The sequence below is a fragment of the Homo sapiens genome, chromosome 18, assembly GCF_000001405.40.
Source record: "Homo sapiens chromosome 18, GRCh38.p14 Primary Assembly".
Taxonomy (NCBI): Eukaryota; Metazoa; Chordata; class Mammalia; order Primates; family Hominidae; genus Homo; species Homo sapiens.
In genome coordinates, this window is record NC_000018.10 from 59,951,747 (window position 1) to 59,974,134 (window position 22,388).

The 22,388-nt window shown below is 39.5% G+C and overlaps 2 pseudogenes, besides 3 other annotated features; both read left to right on the forward strand.

The window, feature by feature from the left end:
• Positions 1,485 to 1,664: an enhancer, noted in NCBI's record as "active region_13424". NCBI's record gives its function as "activates an Ori minimal core promoter by ATAC-STARR-seq in GM12878 lymphoblastoid cells {active_cell/tissue: GM12878}" and the evidence as "EXISTENCE:reporter gene assay evidence [ECO:0000049][PMID:35858748]".
• Positions 1,675 to 1,724: an enhancer, noted in NCBI's record as "active region_13425". NCBI's record gives its function as "activates an Ori minimal core promoter by ATAC-STARR-seq in GM12878 lymphoblastoid cells {active_cell/tissue: GM12878}" and the evidence as "EXISTENCE:reporter gene assay evidence [ECO:0000049][PMID:35858748]".
• NFE2L3P1 (nuclear factor, erythroid 2 like 3 pseudogene 1) lies at positions 16,062 to 20,361 on the forward strand (annotated as a pseudogene).
• Positions 19,622 to 19,731: an enhancer, noted in NCBI's record as "active region_13426". NCBI's record gives its function as "activates an Ori minimal core promoter by ATAC-STARR-seq in GM12878 lymphoblastoid cells {active_cell/tissue: GM12878}" and the evidence as "EXISTENCE:reporter gene assay evidence [ECO:0000049][PMID:35858748]".
• Positions 21,168 to 21,461, forward strand: RN7SL342P (RNA, 7SL, cytoplasmic 342, pseudogene; annotated as a pseudogene).

Consider the following 22,388-nt stretch of genomic DNA (forward strand, 5'->3'; position numbering starts at 1 on the left):
CCAAGATAGTCATCTCTCTAAATTATTTCCTGATTACTCAGACGTGATAAATCATAAAGTCACCTATTTCTTCTAAAGAGATTTGGAGAAGTGTTAAGCGATCAGTTTAAATCCCAAGCAGTGCAACATGAGCTGCTGGATTTGCTAATGATCACTCTAAATAGTGTTTCTTGTAAGCATTGGCAATGAACATGAGAACTCGCTTTATTCATTTTCTCTGATTACAAAGAAGATGAAATTTCACGTAAGTGCACTGTAAGAAGCTGCCCATGTTTCTCCTGTATTCAGATAGTTTCCACAATTCCATTCTCATTCTTAGGGAATCAGTTCTTCCCTTGGTAGATGAAGGTAGTTTCTGTTTAGCGGAGGACTTGGCCCATCTTTCCTTAAGGGATGACAATCTTTGTACCATTGCCACAAGTGAAGGCTTCTAGGACATCTCCATGGATGGAATAAGCCATTGCAGAAGGAAGGACACCTCCTCAGAGAATGGCCTTTGAGGAAGATCCATGGGAAAGAGGGAAAAGGTAAGAAAATGCATATCTACTAGTAACCTTCAGTAACACCAATGGGGTAAACTACAAATCAATTTGAAAGGAATACATTAAAGACTAAATGTTCCAAATCAAATTGGTGCTCAGTTTGTGCACGTAAAAAACTTGTGTGCTAAAGCAGGGAACAGATTTCTGAATATTACTTGCCAATGACAACGTGTACTTGCATTTTTACTCAGTAAATGTTCATTATTGTCAAATGTATCCCCAGGGGCCTTTTAATTTTTAGAAATATAAAAATGAATAAGTCATGGTCTTTGCTAAGATGAGAACACAAATTAGTAAAAGATATTTTAGCAATTTCTTTTCTTTTCTTTTCTTTTTTTTTTTGAGACGGAGTCTCACTCTGTTGCTAGGCTGGAGTGCAGTGGTGCAATCTCAGATCACTGCAACCTCTGCCTCCTGGGTTCAACTGATTCTCCTGCCTCAGTCTCCTGAGTAGCTGGGACTATGGGTGTGCACCACCACGCTCAGCTAATTTTTTGTATTTTTGGTGGAGATGGGGTTTCACCATGCTGGTCAGGATGGTCTTGATCTCTTGACATCGTGATCCACCTGCCTTGGCCTCCCAAAGTGCTCAGATTACAGACGTGAACCACCATGCCCAGCAGTAATTGTTAAAAAAGTGTGGTTTTGGAAATGTGCCAATGTGGAGCAAACACAAATTATACATATGAATTAGATCTAAGGCTTTTAGTGCCCTTACAGTGAAACATTAAGACAAATTTCTCTCTTTTTCTCTCTGTGCAAACTAATATTAATTTGTTAATCTATAATACTCTGATATCAACTGTGTAACAAGATGAGCTCATCTTTATCGACGAAAACATGATGTATTTTTCCATTTTGGTGGTAGCTGACAAAAATGACTAACCTTTAAAGGGTTTATTATGACTCACTGATTTGAGCTGGGTGTATACCAATGAACACTTCACTAAATATTAAGGTAGTTTGAAAAGAAACTTGCTGAAAGACTTAACATCTTTTGCAATAGCTGGTTTACACTCCGTATCTCTACTTTATCCTAGAATGAATATCATACCTGAATCTCCTTTGTAAATATTTACTTGTTCGAGTAAAAGAGAAATAGAAAAAAATTACTTGGCCAGGCGCTGTAGCTCATGCCGGTAATCCCAGCACTCGGAAGGCCAAGACAGGTGAATCATTTGAGGTCAGGTGTTCAAGACCAGCCTGACCAATATGATGAAACCCCATCTCTACTAAAAATACAAAAATTAGCTGGGCGGGGTGGCATGTGCCTGTAATCCCAGCTACTTGGGAGGCTGAAGCAGGATAACTGCTTGAACCCAGGAGACAGAGGTTGCAGTGAGCTGAGATTGCACCATTGAACTTCAGCCTGGGCAACAAGAGTGAAACCCCATCTCAAAAAAAAAAAAAAAAAAGACAAAAAAAAAATTACTCATTCTTTTACTAAGAACAAGGAAGTTTATGACCATAAATCATTTGGTGGCACCAACAGTGACAGACTTCAACTTTTGACGTCAATCTTGAATGTTCAGGTTGGGCTGAGGTGCTGCAAAAACACCATAGGAGCACCAAATCCCCTACGTTAACAAACTCAGGGTGGTATTTGCATGATGAGTTTAGTATTCCACTGCTCAGATGTAGAAATAGAGCCACAGAGAAGTGGAAGCAATCATGAATGTTTTAGATTGAAGACAAGCTCAGAGAAATGATTAAAATTCTGGAGTATTAAGATTCTGTTCTGGCCCCTAGTTCTGTTTTTCCCCTAAATTAGGTCATAGAACATCATTTTGGCCAGAAGGAAAATTCGATTCTTTAGTTTTAAAGCTTAACCCCTACCCCCAAAATGCACAGAAGTCAGATTCTACAACATCAAAACACCATGTGTCAAAGGAAAAACATGTTTAAAAAATTGTTTCCAGATATTATTATTAAATTATTGAATTTAAGGTGCAGTAGAATAGCTGTAGAGCTAAAACATGTAGTATTTAAAAGTAAAATTTAATTTTTATTTGTTCATATTCCAGCCAAAATGGCTGTTAGTAGTAATTTACAGTATATCATAAAAGACTGTATCAAGTGTCAAACTGGAATAGTCACTTATTAGAGTCTAAGGAAAACAAAAGAACTTTGATTATTCAGATTGAATCATGGGATAAAATATTAGCAGCCAGGTCACCTTGATCTCAAGTTATATGAACAGTAGACTAAAGCGATTTGTATTTACTTCCCTTTTCCTCCTCCTGCCTTTTAATATTCAAGACAGACTTGTTTCCAGAGGCTGAATAGAGCTGATGTGTCCAGGGAGTTTTAGACAAGCTCAAGGGGAATTGTGAGCCATGAAAAAATCAGAAGGAGGGCCACTTGCCATTCTCATCTCATTTTAATCATGTTATTGTTCCAAGGATATACACCAAATTTTCAAGACTGTTATTCACCTATTTTTAAAACTATTTTGTAGCTTCTATGCATAGCTCTGGCATCATGCATAGATAAAAACTTAACTATGCAATCCTGCTGGATGAGACCTTCCTGAAGACACACATTCCTTACTCTTTTGTGTTACCATTAAGGCCAATGTGGACAAATTTCCAAAGTGTTCTACAACTGTCTTTTCAGACTGTACTCAAATAGGTCAGAAAGACAAAATTCTTTAATGATGACACTTGTTCCCTGCTTTGATGACAGGAAGTACCGATGCCAAGCAAATAACCACATCTGTACTGTAAGCCTACATTTCATTTAGTGTTTTGAGAAACATAGCATATGTGATTCAGAGTAAAGGCATTTATTATGACACTTCGTCATAGAGAGCTTACCTTGGCAATTTCTGCTGTTTAAAAAAGTGCATTCAGCTTTTAACCCATGGAATTCTGATAGCTCCGATTTTGCCTGTACTAAAATTACTTTCGCACTTCTTAGGGGTTTGAATGTAACCTCCTACATAAATTTTTTGGTGTCCAGAGATTCCATGCCATGGAAAGAGAAACAGACCTATTCTTTTTTAATTTTTGAATTTTTAAATATATTTTGTAATTTTTGTGGATACATAGTAGATGTATATATTTACGGGATACATGGCGATGTTTTGATACAGGCATGCAATGTGAAATAGCACATTACGGAGAATGGGGTAATCATCCACCTCTCAAGTATTTATGCTTTGAGTTATAAACAAGCCAATACATGAAGTTATTTTATTTATTATCATTATTATTATTATTTGAGACAGGGTCTCATTCTGTTGTCCAAGCTGGAGTGCCGTGGCACAATCAAGGCTCACTGCAGCCGTGACCTCCCTGGGCTCAGGCGATCCTCCCACCTCAGCCTCCTGAGTAGCTGGGACTACAGGTGCATGCCACCATGCCTGCCTATTTCTTTTGCATTTTTTGTAGAGACGAGGTTTTGCCATGTTGCCCAGGCTGGTCTCAAAATCCTGGGCTTAAGCAATCCATTTGCCTTCACCTCTCAAAGTGCTAGGATTACAGGCATAAGCCACTGTGCCTGGCCATAAGTTATTTAAAAATATACAATTAAGTTATTATTGACTATAGTCACCCTATTGTGCTGTCAAATAATAAACATTATTTCTAAAAGAATAATGGAAACATAAGATGACAAAATATTTTGTCGTTTTATTTTGACTTCTGGGAGATGCAATGTGGATGTTGAAATTTTGGCATTTCAGAGACATTTAAATGGCTTATGGGATCACAGGGCAGAATATTTTATCCCAAATTTTTACTCATTCAAGTTGTGTTTTTCTATTCAAATATTTAATTTTAAAAATATTGAAATATTTAAAAAATATAGAAAAGGATTGCATTCATTTACTTCATAAATATCTATTGAGAGTTTACTACATGCCAGCAACTGATCTCCATGTTTGGGATATATCAGAGAACCATGTAGACAAAAATCCATGGATTTCTGGAAAATATAACCTAGCAGGGTAGGCAGGTGATAAAGAACAATCGCAGAGATAGTCTTGACTAGATGACAGGCCACGTTACCTAGTGCTCAAGCACTGGGAATTGGATGTAGATGGTCCTATACACTAATGGGCAGGAAGGCAGCATATGTGGGTATAGATGCTAGTGGGCGGTGGATGTGGTGGGGGAGGCTCAGGACCCTCTGATGGCATCATTGCTCTCTGGGAAGTAAGAAGCATGGTCATAAGCAGAAAGCAAAGATAGCAGAGGAAGTGGTGGATATTTGAGGAAAGAAGCTGAAGGTGTGGAAAATTTATTTAGTATAGAAAATGACATAACAGATACTTATAAACAACCCTAAGTTTAAACAGATAACATTTTGCCGAGATACTCAAAGTAACTGTCTGTTGATCATTTACCTTTCCATCTTCTCAAAGAAAAGCACTCTCTCAAAACCGGAGTATTTGATACTTATGCCTGATGTTCAAATTAGGACTGTTTAAGTTGGATTTGAAGCTGCTTATTTCTCTGAGAAACTGAATTCAATATGCTCCCCCCAACCCAGTGCCTTTTATTGCTTTGCTTTTTAAAATTGTGGCAAAATAGACATAACATAATATTTGTAATTTTATTTTTATTTATTTTTTATTGTAAATTGAATATTCTTAATTGTATATATTTATGGGAGACAGTGATGTTATAACTCATGAATACTTTGTGGAATAATTAAATGAAGCTAGTTAATGTATCCATCACTTCAACAACTTAACATCTTTTTTGTGGTGAGAGCATTTGAAATTTACTCTTAGCAATTTTGAAATGTGCAATACTCTATTATTAACCGTATTCACCACACTGTGCAATAGAACTAAAAAAAAAAAAAATCCCACACCATGTTTCTCTTCTGAGATTTTGTACCCTTTGACCATCATCTCCCAACCCACTTCACCTTCAGCCTCTGTAGCCGCCATTCCACTCTCTGCTTCTATGGGTTCAATTGTTTTAGATTCCACATGTAAGCGAGAATATATGGCATTTGTTTTTCTGTGCCTGGCTTATTTCACTTAGCATAATATTCTCCAGTTCCATCCATGTTGTTATTGATGACACAATTTCCTTCTTTATTAAGGCTGAATAATAGTTCATTGTGCATATACACCACATTTTAAAATCCATTTATCTGTTGATTCATGGACATTTCGGTTGATTCATGGACATTTCGGTTGATTCCGTATCTTGGTTATTGTGAACACAGCTTCAGTGAACTTGGGCGTGCAGACATCTCTTGGACAAACTGATTATAACTCTTTTGGGCAAATATCCAGAAGTTGGATTGCTGGATCAATATTTGTCATTTTAACCATTTGTAAGTACAATTCAGTGGCCTCACGTACATTCATAATCTGTGTAACTATCACCACTGTCTGTGTCCAGGACATTTTAGTTATCCCTAACATAAACTCTGTATCCACTAAACAATAACTCTTCTTTCCCCACCCTCCCCTAAACCCTAGATAGTCTCTGTTTTGCTTTCTGTCTCTATAAATTTGCTTATCATAGGTACATCATGTAAATGGAATCATGAAATATTTGTCCTTCTGTCCTGGCTTATTTCACTTAGCATAATGTTTTCAAGGTTCATCCATGTTGTAGTATATGTCAAAATTTCATTACTTTGCATGGGTGAATAATATTTATAGCAGGCTTTTAGTATCATAAAAACTTACTACAATCATCATAGTCTAGTACAGGGGTGCTAAGGACTGCAAAATCATACCGATGGCTTCTATCTTCCTTGTCAGTATTTCCTATTGTCTTTAGTGCAAAATTGTTCTTCCTAAATCCTCTTTGAGCTGTTTCACTGACATCACCTCAAAGCCATACTGAATGTCATATGGTAAGGCAGGATCTTGTTCACTAGCAAGATATGAAGACCTTGGAAGGCTGCCAGGCTCCCAGCTCTGAGGCCCTGCTTGCTGCAAATTATCTCTGCTGGGCTGAGCAGGGCAGGTGCAGAGGAAAAGGGCAACTGTAGATCAACAGCAGCTGCTGCTTGCTGACTGGAAATAGGGCCGGCACAAGCAAAGGGTCAAGAAGAAACATCTTAGGTAATGGTTTCCATAGTTTCCCTCCTTGGGAGGAAATAAATGACAGAGTCACAAAAAGAGAGACCATGAATTACAGGTATTGTACTTTCCATAGCTTTGCATTCCGCAGCTTAAAAACATGACTTTTTGAAGTTTGCATGACTTAGATTTGGCGATCCTAAAGGTTAAAGGCATTTGGTCATTTTTATCTCAAATATCATGTTTTAAAAGAGATACTATCTCATTTCTCAAATATTGTTTCTCAAAAGAACTAGTGCCAGAAAAATATTTTCTAAAATTCTTACAATGAGCAGTATTTCTTTTTTTTTTCTTTTTTTTTGAGAAGGAGTTTCTCTCTGTCGCCCAGGCTGGAGCGCAGTGGTGCAATCTCAGCTCACTGCAACCTCTGCTTCCCGGGTTCAAGTGATTCTCCTGCCTCAGCCTCCTGAGTAGCTGGGATTACAGGCGTGTGCCACCACGCCTGGCGATTTTTGTGTTTTTAGTGCAGACGAGGTTTCACTATGTTGGCCAGGCTGGTCTCAAACTCCTGACCTCAAGTGATCCGCTCGCCTCAGCCTCCCAAAGTGCTGGGATTACAGGCGTGAGCCACTGCGCCTGGCTGAGCAGTATTTTTTTTAATGAGAAAGTGATAATTTAAAAACTCACTTTTGTTCTTGTTGTTAAAATTTAAAGTTTCTTATACTTTCTATATCAGTGTCTGCCTAATTTTTCTGTAGTGTATTACTAATACTAACAACAGTAGGAAACATTTTTTGAAGGCTTAGTATATGTCAGTGTTCAAAGTAGGCATCTTATATAATCTTTACTTAATATTTGTAATTATACGATAAAGTAGAAGTTATAATATTCATTATTCTTATCTTTGAAATGAGGAAACTGAGGCTTAGTATAGGTGACAAAATACATAGCAAAACCATGAGTCAAGGCAAGCTTGGCCAAATGTCAGTGACCTTCTTCTTAGTCACTGCATGCATCAGGTTATCAGATGAGGTTCAAGAATGAAGAGTGCCTTGAAACTATCTGATTAATCCCCCCCCTTTTCAAATATGGACAGTGAGGCCCAGCGTGGCCTCAGCCCTCTTCCACACTTGTTGAGTGGGTTTGTTGCAGGGTGGGAACCAGAAGGGGTCTCCCGTCACCAGAAGACCCTTGTGCTTTCATACAAGAGTGCTTGTATTTTCTTGTAACTGCTTTATATCCAATGGTTTCAAAAAGAAAACTCTTGTAAATACTAAAACACAAAACAATACGTTGAAGAAGAGTGATTTGGGAGGTGGTATCTTTATGACTTTCCTACAAAGTGAAAAATGGGCTTGTTAGTGTTTGCTCACTTCACAACCACATTCAGTGAGAAGAATTTTTTTCTTCATTAATTACATTCTCTATCTATATCCTGTAGCATTTGTATACTATGTGTTTTCAGAAATGGCTAGAAATTCCTTTGAAACAAAACTGAAAGCTAAAATTAAAAATACACACTTCTGCTAAATATGGCCTTCATAAAAGATTCATAAGTGTTGTTTATTTCTGATGCTGATGCCCTCCATCTCTGTATGCCAAGGTAACTTCTGTAACCTCGTATAACACTTCTACTGCCTTGTCTTGTCACGTCTGAAGCCCAGCTCTTTAACTGTAAGAATATTTCCTATTTGTCTGTTCTCTGGCTTAGCCCCATCTGGCTATTGTCTCTGCTTGGAAGGTTTGAGGAAAATTCTGACTATTTTTATATTTCACTTCTATCACTTCTAAATGCATCTTCTTGTAAATACATCTTCTAAATATTTTGGAAGCCATCTCTGGTTTTCTTAAATTTTCTCTTATGCTAATTTTGTTTGGTTCTTCTTTATTTATCTGATAATAACAACAGATTCTTTTTATTTTAAATTGTTCAGTTCAGTAGTTTACAATTTAAAGTTGTACAATCCAGTAGTTTTAGTAGATTACAGAGTTGTGACCACTGTCCCTGCTATCAAATTCCAGGACATTTTCATCACCCAGAAAGAAACCTCATACCCATTACTGGTTACTCTCAAGTCCTCTCTTCCCCTATCCCCTGGCAACTGCAAATCTGCTTTCTGTATCTACAGATTTGCCTATCCTAGGCATTCTGTATAAATGTCATCATATAATATGTAGCCTTCTGTGACTAGCTTCTTTCACTTAGCATCAGGTTTCTCAGGTTCCTTCATGTCGTGATATGACTTAACTTTATCTTATGACCGAATAGTATTCCATTGTATGGATATACCACATTTGTTTATTCATTCTTCAGTTGATGGAGAGTTGGGACTGGTTTCTTTGTTAATAAACTCTCCTGCCTCCTTGATTTCCTCACTCCAATGCATAATCTGCTACATGTCCAGAATTATCTTCTCAAAGAGTTCTGATCATAGCACCCTGTATATGAAAACCTGTGAAAGTTCCCCAGTGGCTCACCCACAGAATGAAGCCTTGCCCCCATCCCCCTACTTCAGTCTCATTGCCTATTCTTTCCAGATGCCCCATGTGGATGAACTCTTATGCCACTCACCTTCCTTGCTTGGGGCCTCTGCCCTGACTAGAATACCCTCTGCTCTCTCCAAGTGGTGAATTCCTCTGGCCTTCCCTGGGAAGCCTTTCCCAAGGCCTGCTGGGAGAAAGCATGATGCCTCAGCACTTTCTACATTTCCCTTAGTGGAAATATTTACTATTCTGTATGGTAATTATTTACCCTTTAATTGTCACTCTACAAAGAGTGTGAGCCCTTTGAGGAAAATGCATGCTTCCTATTTATCTTCCATCTCTCCATGACTTTTCTGTGACCAACCCAAAGCAGTTGTGTAATCAGTGATGATTTAATTAATGTGCATACCTGTGCTTCACCTTGACTTTGAAGTGTTTATGGAACCATTTAATGTTCCTGGCACTCAGTTTCTTTACTGGGAAAATGAAGCCAGCTACTTTGAGCCAGGTGCTCGCGTGGCCCCAGGACAGAAAGCAGAAGTGCGTTACCTCATACTGTGCCTGCTGCCCCACCTTCCAGATGATAACATGTTTTTGCATACTTTATCTTCTTTTGATTGCACACTGTCTGTGTATCTGGCAGCTGTTGTTGCCCTCAGTTGAAAACAATTTGAAAGTGAGACCTACGGAGCTTAAATGAATTTTGCCTGTTTGAGGTCACACAGGTAGAATAAAATCTGTCCTATTTAAGCCACATTCCTAAGGAAGGAAGAGATCCTAAAGGAAAGAACATAAACTCTGCACTGGATAATTTAGCTCCTGAGGGGAAATGGTAGTTTTGCATAGGCTGTGTTTCCACAAAGGAGGAACTCTTTTCTCCCCCAAGTTCTTTTTTCTTTTCAGTATACATGCATGTTGATATAAACGTTCTGTGAGAAACACAGTGTAATAGGCTGAGATTGTCATTTTTTTATTTTTATTTTTTGAGACAGAGTCTCCCTCTGTTTCCCAGGCTGGAGTGCAGTGGCATGATCTCAGCTCACTGCAACCTCTGCCTCTCAGGTTCAAGCCATTCTCCTGCCTCAGCCTCCCGAGTAGCTGGGATTACGGGCGTGTGCCACCACGCCTGGCTAATTTTTGTATTTTTTGTAGAGACAGTGTTTCATCATGCTGGCCAGGCTGGTCTCAAACTCCTGACCTCAAGTGATCTGCCCACCTCGGCCTCCCAAAGTGCTGGGATTACAGGCGTGAGCCACTGAGCTCGGCAGGATCTGAATTTTCAATTCTTTTACTGTTCTTGCTCCAGAGTGATCGACCCCAAACCTGTGAGCAGAGAGAGGATACAACAACCAGCTTAGGGCTTCTGGGCTTACAAGAATCAGGGAGCACAGGGAGTCCAAGTCAGGATTGGGGACATCATTTTCAGGGCCCAGGGCAAAATAAAATGTGAGATTCCTTGTTCAGAAAGTCTTAAGAATCTCAAAATCATGACAGCAGAGCATTAAACCAAGTAAGGGAGACTTCTAATATGGGCATAGAGATTCCTTCTTGTACAGGTCACATGCCCATGAAGCTGGCCCTGGTCAGAATTGTCTAGTCATCCTTTGGTATCTGTGGGAAAATGATTCCAGGACCCCTCCCCTGGTATCGAAATTTGAGGATGTTCAAGTACCTGATATAAAATGGCATAGTATTTGCATATAACTTAAACACATCCTCATGTATACTTTAAATCACGTCTCGATTACTTATAATACCCAATACAACGTAAATACCATGTAAATATTTGTTATACTCTATTGTTTAGGAAATAACGACAAGGAAAAAGTCTGTACATATTGATACAGATGCAACCATCCATTTTTTTTACAAAAATATTTTTGATCTTTAGTTGGTTAAATCCATGGTTGCAGAACCTACAGATACAGAGGGCCAATGTATATTCAAATACACTTTGTTCTCAGAGTCATGGAGAAAACACCACCAACATCAACATTAAGGAATACAGACCAAGACGATTTCTCTTAAAATTCTTTTTTTTCCCCTATAATCTAGCTTATATAATAATTGTACTTTCTATATTCCAGGCACAGTTATAAGTGTTTTACAAATTCTGACTCATGTTTTTCTTCTTGAGAACTCTATGAGGTAGATGCTACTATTATAATACCCATTTTACAGTTGAGGAAACTGAGGCATGGGAATTCACGTAAATTACTCCAAAGTCCACAGAACTTAGCCAGTCTGGCTGAGAGGCTGTGCTTTTAATGACTATATACACTGACTCTCTCAAATAAAAATAAGACATATTTACCTTAGTATATGACTCTGTTCCCAACATATTTTTGGAAGATGACAGTTTTGAAGAGTATCTTCTTTTTTAATCCTCAAAGAGAGAGGATTTAATTAATTACAGGTATCTGTAGAGAACTCCATGAATCCTTCAGGTTCCTGCAACCTAACCCATTTATCTATGATCCCATATGAACTGTTACATCATCTCACTTTTTAGCTCTCTGATTCAGTCACAACTATTCAAAAACACATCTGAGAAAGAATAAATGTCCAAAAATACATCCCTAAAGGAACATCAGTAACTATTACTACCCCCGCTCCATCCCCAATAACAAAGTAGCTTTCAAGAAAAGCTGATAAAACCTTGAGCAAATAAACACACAGCACTTAAGGTAGCTCCTGAGAATACCTCTATACTCACTGCCGAGGGAAACAACTAGCATTTTTGAATTTGAAGAAAAGGTTAAATTGGATCTTGCACCATAAAAGAGAGTAAACCACAAAACGAATCTTAGAAAGCATTTTATTCGAAGTGTTAAAATAAATACAAAGTTACGGTATGTATGTATGTAATAACTTTATATGGAAGCTTCATATAGTCATTCCCATTTACCTTTCATGAGATGTTTGATAAATGTATTGTTTCTTTTTCTTTTTTGAGACAGCATCTCACTCTGTTGCCCATGGTAGATTGCAGTGGCACAATCACAGCTCACTGCAGCTTCCAACTCCTGGGCTCAAGTGATCCTCCTACCTCAGCCTCCTGAGTAGCTGGGACCACAGGTGCATGCCACTGAACCCAGCTAATTAAAAAAATTTTTTTGTAGATATGGGGGTCTCACCATGTTGCCCAGGCTAGTCTTGAACTCCTGGGCTCCAAGAATCCTCCCACCTTTGCCTCTCAAAGCGTTGGGATTGCAGGTGTGAGCTACCACACCTAGCCTGTTTCTGTATTTTATTTGCCTCTCTGTGCACTTTAGCTTCTGGAATGGAAATTAGGATTGTGGATTTTAACCTCACTGATGAAGACAGCATTTTTTTTTCTCAAGGAATCTGAACCGATCCAAACCAAATGATATAAATATATGGAAGAATATAAAAAAAAAACCCTTACTACACAAAGAGAATTTTTGTTTCCCTAAAAAGTGTTTACTTCAAAGCTATTTCTTAAAAAATGCTGAAAGGGTATGGGCGCAGCGGCTCATGCCTGTAATCCCAGCACTTTGGGAGGCCGAGGTGGGAGGATCACTTGAGGTCAGGAGTTTGAGACAAGCCTTGGCAACATGGTGAAGTCCCCGTCTCTACTAAAAATACAAAAATTAGCCGGGCGTGGTGGCGCGCGCCTGTAGTTGCAGCTACTCGGGAGGCTGAGGCAGGAGAATCGCTTGAACCCAGGAGGTGGAGGTTGCAGTGAGCCGAGATTGCACCACTGCGTTCCAACCTGGCCACAGAGTGAGACGCCGTCTCAAAAAAAAAAAAAAAAAAAAAAAAGTTCTCTGACCCTGTCGTGTTTGGGAACCTTATTTGAACAACTTACTGAGTGTAATGGGGTCATGATGGATTTTCCTAGACATTGCTTAGTGCTTCATGGACCTTGCTCCATGATGTTTTGTCAGGAAATGCTGCTCCCATTGGCATGCTTTCTCTCTTCCCGCGGTCGCTGGTGGGCTCCGGGGTTGTACTGGTTATTTGCTTGTTCTCAGGTACATATTTCTCCCTTCTCTTCCCTTCTCAGCAATGCAGCTCTCTCGCCTTATTCTTTCCATGAAAATTCTGCTAATGTAAGACTAGAAGAGAAGATGCCGGGAAAAGCCTGGGTTTCTCTCTCTCTCAATCTTGGAATCTTGGGAAGTGGATTTGTCTTTTCCTCAGAGCAGCTCCCTCTACACTGTCCCTCTTTCCCCCTCCTTTTCTCTCCTTGGTTTTACCCTCCCCCAGCTTCAAATCCCCTCCTTTTGACATAAACTATGCTGCCTTCCATTTTCTGACTAGACCCTGACTAATTCGGGGGTGATCAGGAGCTGTGCTAACCTACACCAAAATTGTCTCTGTTCCTTTTCCTCTGGTCATCACTTTTTTTGAGATTATAGAACAGGGATGTGTACCTTTCACTGTTTTGATGTTTGTGGACAGATATTTTGGCTCTTTAAAAACTTCTGTGAAACATTAGAGAAAATTTCATCTGCTATTGTCTCTTGCAATTCCACTATCAGTGTTTTATTTTACTTTATTTTAAATTGTTAATCAAACTTTATTTTTAATTGTAAATTGTCAACTTATATAAATTTATGGGGTACAAAGTGATGTTATAATTTATAAATATGAAGTGAAATAATCTCTCTTAGCAATTTTGAAAGGTACAACCCTCTAATATAAATATATTCACCATGCTTGGCAATAGAACTAAAAAAACCCTATATTCTTCTGTGAAACTGAGATTCTGTACCCTTTGACTGTCATTTCCCCATACCTTCATCCCTCTCTTCTCATCCTTACTCCACCTCTCTCAACAAGTGCCAGGCTCTTATTTATAAAATGCTCTCATCAGAACTGCATTTTTGCAAAATACCTTTTTTCTAATAACAAGTGTATAAAGAGAGAAACCTACCTACGCACTGACCAACTTCTAACTAGAATAATCCATCCTGATTTCTTACAGCTTCAGGGGTTTCAGACACATAAGCCAAAGGCTGCTTCATCTTGAACTCTCTATTTCTTTCCTTGGCTTGTCACACTCCTTGAAGGAAAGTCAAATGACTCTTGGGAGCAATAGCTATTTATTTATTTCTTGTTTGTTAATTGGAAAAGGTAAAAGGAAAAAAAGAAAAAATAATGTAACAAGCATTAGCACCCATAAGAACATATTAAACTCATAAAATTAAGAAACATTTCTAGTAAAGTTGAAGTTCCCTTGATCTTCTCTCTGATCCTGTTCCCTTTATTTCTTCCCATAGGTCCACACAATGATAATTGGGCATTTTATTATGTCTGCTCATGCTTTAAATTTTGCTACATATATATTTAATACACAGCATATAAATATTGCTTGCATGTGTTTACAAGTTTACAAAAGTGGTGTATCTTGCCAAGATCAGATTGATCTAATCTCTGGGAATAAGAAAGAATAAAATTTCCTGAAATTACAAGCTCTGTTTTAGAAACTGTTCCCTTGAGCAAATTTTAATCTCTAGAGTGATCAGAGTGGCAAATCTTCACTGCAGACAAGAATTCTTGAGATGAGCCTCTTTTTGCCTTAGTGACTTTATGAGGTTCTCTTAGAAAATGACACCAGCTGTGGATTATCTCTTACCTAAGGGCTGTAAACTTGAGAAAAACTTGCTTTCAGAACATTTTCAACAGTAGATTTCTTTCTGAGAAGCTGATTTTTTTTTCTGCATCTATTAAAATCTTCAGGTGGTCACTATAGTGAATAAATACATATTTGCTATATTTTAAATCCCTGGATACAAGATGTCATTGTATTCACAGTTTTATCTGTCCCAATATAGATTTTTCATGTTAGTGACAAAAATTTCAGAAAAAACATTAAAAATGTGAGTTAGTCATAGTATTTATAAATCCATCTTTTTTTTCAGCATGGAAAATTTTAATGATTTTTCAGAAATACACATGGGAATTATAAATTCTTCAAAGGTATACAGTTCTATATGCTTACAGTACCATGAGAAACAGCTGAGTACCTTAATACTTTAATTGGAATGAAATGTCTCCTCACCTTAGGGTGATTTTAATGAAAGCTGGTATGTTAATGAATCTAGCCATTTAGTGGCCACCTGTGACTAAAATACTCAATTACATTGTGTTAGATTTTAGAGTAAGAATTTTATTTCTTTGAAAGTTTAATGAATGCATTCAGTTTCTAATATTTATGGATAATTGGATTGATTGACAATGTCTACTAGTAAAGTGATTAGCCATCCTGGTTTTCCTGGTACCGAGGGGCCTCCCAGGACATGAAACTGTTTTAAAACCATTCCTGGGCAAGCTGGGACGAATTGGCCACCCTACCTATGTAGCTACAATGTGCTGTCTAGGCATGCAGGAGACAGCAATAACTAAGATAATCAAGTCACTGTTCTCATCTAGTGCATGGAGAAAAACAGATGATAGATAAACAATCATGTGTAACATCAGATAGCTATAGGCTATGCAGGGGACTAAAACAGGTTAATGTAATAGAAAGTAGCTGGGTAGCTATTTTAGGTAGAATGTTTGAAAATGGGGAGGTGACATTTAAGCTGAGATGAATGGCATGTAAGTGCTGGTCATATAAAAATAGGAAGAACATTCTGGTCAGAGAGAAAAGTTAGAACACAGTTTATAGGTCAGGAATCAGGTTGGTGTGTTCAAGGAGCCCAGAGGGGTCAATATGCCTAGAGTAGTGCGGGTTTATTAGTGGTCTAGGGCTGCCGTAACAAAAGACCCCAAACTGGGTGGCTTAGCTCAACAGGAATTTATTGCTTCACAGTTCTGGAGACCAGAGTCTGAAATCAGGGTGTCAGCAGGGCTATAGTCCCTCTTAGCTACCAAAAGCTAGGAAGGGCAAGAAAGGATCCTCCATGGGAGGATTGTAGATGCACTGCTCCAATCTCTGCCTTCATTGTCACCTGGCATTCTTTCCGTGTCTCTTTTCTTTGAGACAGTGTCTCCCTCTGTCACCCAGGCTGAAATGCAGTGGCATGATTATGGGTCACTGTAGCCTTGACCTCCTGGGTTCAAGCCATCCTCCTGCCTCAGCCTCCTGAGTAGCTGGGACCACAGATGTGCACCACCATGCCCTGCTAATTTTTTTTTTTTTTTTGAGATGGAGTCTTGCCAGGTTCCCCAGACAGGACTTGAGCTCCTGGGCTCAAGTGAACCTCCCGCCTTGGCCTCCCAAAGTGCTGGAATTACAGGCATGAGCCACTATGCCCCGCCAATGTCTCTGTCTTTACATGGCCTTTTCTTCCAATAAGGACATCAGTCATTGGATTTAGGGCCTTCTGTAATGATGTCATCTTAACTTGATTACATCTGCAAAGACCCTATTTCTAAATAAGATCATGTTCACAGGTATGAGGGTAGGCTGTGTTAGAGATTCAATATGTCTTTTTGGGGGACACAATTCTCTTCACTACAGTGGGCAAAGCCAGAAGTGGCACAAGAGACAGAGATGGAGGCAGGGCCCAGATCATGCAGGTTTTGCAAGGCAAAGTAAGGACTAAAACTCCTGATGGATTTTAAGGAGGAGAGAGATGTGATATCACAGCCAGTTAAAAGTAAGATGACTGCTATGGAGAGATGGACCACGGGATGGTAAGGGCGGAGAGAAAGAGACAGGTTAGGAGAGGGTTGGCATGGCCTGGGTGGTGATAGTGGTGGTGAAGAGGCAGTGAATTGGACAGAGTTGGGATATGATTTAAAGAGAGAACTGCTAGGTTTTCTAGCTTAGAAAGGACAATATGCCATTCCTAGACCCATTCCTCATGGGGTAAGAAAAGATAGCTGCTTCTCTAGAGGGCTGTGGGGAAGGAGGAAGAGATATTTTTATGGAATAAGCAGGTTTCAGATAGGGCATGAAAGAGGAGAGGAGAAGGTTTAGAGAAAAGTTTGAGGATAAAGCAAGTTTCCTGATGATACACTGTACATTCCATAGAATGCACCAACAGGGTTTTAGAGGGTGGAGAGGAAGGGAAATCGGGTCATATTCGTGCATGTGCCTGCTAGTTTGGGTGATGGTGGCTGACAGGCAGGATTTGGGCTGCTGCTGATGACTGAGGTGAAGTGATTGTAAGCATGCTTTTTTAAAGATGCATCATAAGCTGTTTTTTTTCCATAAATGGAAGTGTTAGGGAAACACCTTTAGAAGCAAATGTTGAGAATATGTTAGTTCAACATGTTTATTTCTGCATTGGTTTGTATGAAATAGGTTTACACATACAGCTTTAAAAGGCAAATGTAAGTTTGCTTTCTTAATAATTCATTATAAGCTAAAGGATTAGTATAATAATCTCATAGCGGAAGACAGCCAGTTTAGTGTGTCTCATATGGGAGCCACTGGACAATTGTTTTGTCTTGCAGTTTCCAGAGGCAGAGTGGGCTGGTGAGAGCCAAGGCCTTCTACAGACTCCTTCTTTAGGAGGTTGGGAGTAATAGGCTCCTGGTCAGCTGGCAGAGAGCTGGCATTATCTGGAGCAGGAGGTTAGGCATTGCCTTGTTTCTTGGTGACACAATTAAGCATAGACTATTATTCACAAAAGCCTCTCCCGTTGCAGGGAGCCTCTTCTGCTCATGTGTCAAGTGGTCACGGTGCTAAGGTTTAGTTGCTCTAGACATGTCTACAATTTAGAACTCATGCACCAAAGATGAAAATTCCGTGCTCCGGGACGAACTGCTGTTCCTGGGCGGCCCGGCTAGCTCTGCCTACGCGCTCAGCCCCTTCTCGGCCTCGGGAGGGTGGGGGCGCGCGGGCCACTTGCACCCCAAGGGCCGGGAGCTGGACGCTGCCGCGCAGCCCGAGGGCCAGCTGCTCCGGGAGGTGCGCGTGCTCGGGGTCCCCTTCATCCCTCGCGCCCGGGTGGATGCGTGGCTGGTGCACACCGTGGCTGTCGGGAGCGCGGACGAGGCCCACGGGCTGCTCGGCGCCGCCGCCGCCTCGTCCACCGGAGGAGCTGGCGCCAGCGTGGACGGCGGCAGCCAGGCTGTGCAGGGGGGCGGCGGGGATCCCCGAGCGGCTCGGAGTGGTCCCTTGGACGCCGGGGAAGAGGAGAAGGCACCCGCGGAACCGACGGCTCAGGTGGCGGACGCTGGCGGATGTGCGAGCGAGGAGAACGAGGTACTAAGAGAAAAGCACGAAGCTGTGGATCATAGTTCCCAGCGTGAGGAAAATGAAGAAAGGGTGTCAGCCCTGAAGGAGAACTCACTTCAGCAGAATAATGATGATGAAAACAAAATAGCAGAGAAACCTGACTGGGAGGCAGAAAAGACCTCTGAATCTAGAAATGAGAGACATCTGAATGGGGCAGATACTTCTTTCTTTCTCTCTGGAAGACTTATTCCAGTTGCTTTCATCACAGCCTGAAAATTCACTGGAGGGCATCTCATTGGGAGATATTCCTCTTCCAGGCAGTATCAGTGATGGCATGAATTCTTCAGCACATTCTCATGTAAACTTCAGCCAGGCTGTAAGTCGGGATGTGAATCTTCATGAGGCCATCTTGCTTTGTCCCAACAGTACATTTAGAAGAGATCCAATAGCAAGGACCTCAGTCACAAGAACCATTTCTGCAGTTAAATTCTCATACCACCAATCCTGAGCAAATCCTTCCTGGAACTAATTTGACAGGATTTCTTTCACCGGTTGACAATCATATGGGAATCTAACAAGCCAAGACCTACTGTATGACCTTGATGTAAATATATTTGATGAGATAAACTTAATGTCATTGGCCACAGAAGACAACTTCGATCCGATCGATGTTTCTCAGCTTTTTGATGAACCAGATTCTGATTCTGGCCTTTCTTTAGATTCAAGTCACAATAGTACCTCTGTCATCAAGTTTAATTCCTCTCACTCTGTGTGTGATGAAGGTGCTATAGGTTATTGTACTGACCGTGACTCTAGTTCCCATCATGACTTAGAAGGTGCTGTAGGCGGCTACTACCCAGAACCCAGTAAGCTTTGTCACTTGGATCAGAGTGATTCTGGTTTCCATGGGGATCTTACATTTCAACACATATTTCATAACCACACTTACCACTTACAGCCAAGTGCACCAGAATCTACTTCTGAACCTTTTTCGTGGCCTGGGAAGTCACAGAAGATAAGGAGTAGGTACCTTGAAGACACAGATAGAAACTTGAGCCGTGATGAATGGAGTGCTAAAGCTTTGCGTATCCCTTTTTCTGTAGATGAAATTGTCGGCATGCCTGTTGATTCTTTCAATAGCATGTTAAGTAGGTATTATCTGACAGACCTACAAGTCTCACTTATCCGTGATATCAGACGAAGAGGGAAAAATAAAGTTTCTGCGCAGAACTGTCGTAAACGCAAATTGGACATAATTTTGAATCTAGAAGATGATGTATGTAACTTGCAAGCAAAGAAGGAAACTCTTAGAGAGCAAGCACAATGTAACAAAGCTATTAACATTATGAAACAGAAAGTGCATGACCTTTATCATGACATTTTTAGTAGATTAAGAGATGACCAAGGTAGGCCAGTCAATCCAAACCACTATGCTCTTCAGTGTACCCATGATGGAAGTATCTTGATAGTACCCAAAGAACTGGTGGCCTCAGGCCACAAATAGGAAACCCAAAAGGGAAAGAGAAAGTGAAAAGAAACTGAAGATGGACTCTATTTTGTGAAGTAGTAATGTTCAGAAACTGATTATTTGGATCAGAAACCATTGAAACTGCTTCAAGAATTATATCTTTAAGTACTGCTACTTGAATAACTCCGTTAAGGCTCTGTTTTGAAGCTTACATGGACAGATGTTTAGGACTTCAAGATCACACTTGTGGGAAATCTGGGGGAGCCACAACTTTTCATGAAATGCATTGTATACAAAATTCGTAGTTATGTCCAAAGAATAGGTTAACATGAAAACCCAATAAGACTTTCCATCTTGGCAGCCATCCTTTTTAAGAGTAAGTCGGTTACTTCAAAAAGAGCAAATACTGGGGATCAAATTATTTTAAGAGGTATTTCAGTTTTACATGCAAAATAGCCTTATTTTCATTTAGTTTGTTAGCACTATAGTGAGCTTTTCAAACACTATTTTAATCTTTATATTTAACTTATAAATTTTGCTTTCTATGGAAATAAATTTTGTTTTTGTATTAAAAATTAACTTTTCCCTTTTATACAGAAACCTCAACCAAATTTACCTTACTTTCCTTCCAAAATATCCACTTTCAGGAATATAGGTGAATAACAAATAGGGCAGCATAGCAAATTGCTCAGACTCCAGCCAAATTGAGGTCAACATAGCATGCCCAAATAAGGCAAATCCACCCCGCTACCCCAATAGTTAACACACAGAATACTATGTGATACAGAATGCATTGAAGACCTACAGTCACTGGTAGTTTAAGCCACAGGTCTTCCTCGTGTAACCAGAGACAGAATGGGCTCCTTGCATAAATATAACTCATTGTGTGTATATTAAATCCATAAAATCTCTGGCAGTAAAGCCAGCCTGAAGGGATGGCCTCACCGTCTTAGAACACTGAGATCTCACCAGAACATTGTAAGCCATATAAACAAACAGTAGGGGAAGAGTAAGTAACAGTGAAAACATCTAAAAGATTTAAGTGTTTAAAATGGGCAAAAGCGATTAGGGGAAAAAAACAGGTGAATTTGAAAATAAACCAGGGTAAGGTAAATTCTAGAAACAATGGCATTTGAAATGAAAACCTCACTTAAGTTCACTGGAACAGTAAACAGGAGATTGTTGAGTTTTCTGAAGACAGCAATGACCTCACCTAGATGACTGTCAAGTTTGGGGAACATCAAGATTTTAATGTGTACTATAATGCTTAATATGTCCAAATTTTCAAAATGAAGTTTCTCAGATGTTATTTCTGCCATAGCAGTTACAGTGTAGAGTATCCCATAAATATCTTGGGCTAGAGAAATGCAGTTTATATATACCGTTGGATTTTTATAATAAAGTTTTTTTCCCAAAAAAAAAAAAAGAAAATTCCATCTGTTGGTAAAATAATTGAACACTCTCAGTGTCTTTAAACAATACCCGCTAGTTAGAAAACTTGTATGTTGATTTTTATTGATTATTATTTCGTATCTGATAAAACACCATATAATATGAAGATATAAAATGAAAATAGCTGGGTGTGATGGCATGCATCTGTAGTCCTAGCTACTTGGGAGGCTGAGGTGGGAGGATTGCTTGAGTCCAGGAGTTCTGGGCTGTTGTGCGCTATGCCGATAGGGTGGCTGCACTAAGTTCGGCATCAATATGGTGACCTTCCGGGAGTGAGGCACTGCCATGTTACCTAAGGATGGGTGAAACAGCCCAGAAACTGAGCAGATCAAAACTCCAGTGCTGCTCAATACTGGGATTGCGCCTGTGAATAGTCTCTACACTCCAGCCTGGGCAACATACAGAGACCCTCTCTCTTAAGATAAATATATAAGTAAATAAAAAGGATCATTTCACAATTCTAAGCTTATGTGAATGCATACATAGATTTTTTTTCCTACGCAAATTAATGGTCTTAATGTTTAGACTTCCAGGTCAGCCTAAGATCATGAAAACTCAGTAATAAATCACCGCTACGATGAAAGGGGAAGAAGCAAGAGGAAAAAAAAGTAAATGCTCATTTCTGTCTTGTTTATTATTTTTCAGTTCAAACAGGTTAGAGAGGCCGGGAAGCCAACCAGACCTAGTTGGTATGTCATATATCACATTGCAGTTCATATGCATATTTCTGTCTGGTTCTGTGCAGAGAAGGGAAGACAACAGAGAAAGGAAGAAAACAGCCGGCCTTTCTTCTCCAGCCCCCATTTCTGAGCTGGCCTTAAGGTTGAGGATAAGAGTGAGAATCAGTAGCAACTCCTTTAGGAGTGAACATAGAAAAACCGAAACAGAACTTTTCTTTTTCAGTCACTCCAGAATTAATGCACATAAATCCCTCCCTCCCCAAAAGCATTAAGAAGATTAAGTACTTGGGCTTTTCATCAGTTGCTTTCTTCTGTTCGGAATCATTGTGAACAAGTATGGTGCAAACAAGAAGCTGTCTTTGGACGAAATTCATTTTCCTTTATTTTAGACAAAATTCATTTTGTTTTATTTTAAACAAAACATTCTGACTAGTTTATAATCTACAAAGTATAAAAGTGATTCTTTTTGGTGTACTGATCTGTAGATTTTGACAAATGTAAAGAGTTGTGACAACTACCACAATCAAGATACTGAACCATTCCATCACCCTGTCAGCCCCCAAAATTCTGTCATGCTGACCCTTTATTCAGTCTTTTAAAATAAATTATATTTTTATTTATTCTTAGGCAATTGATCTATGTCAATTGGGCAAAACTGAAGAAA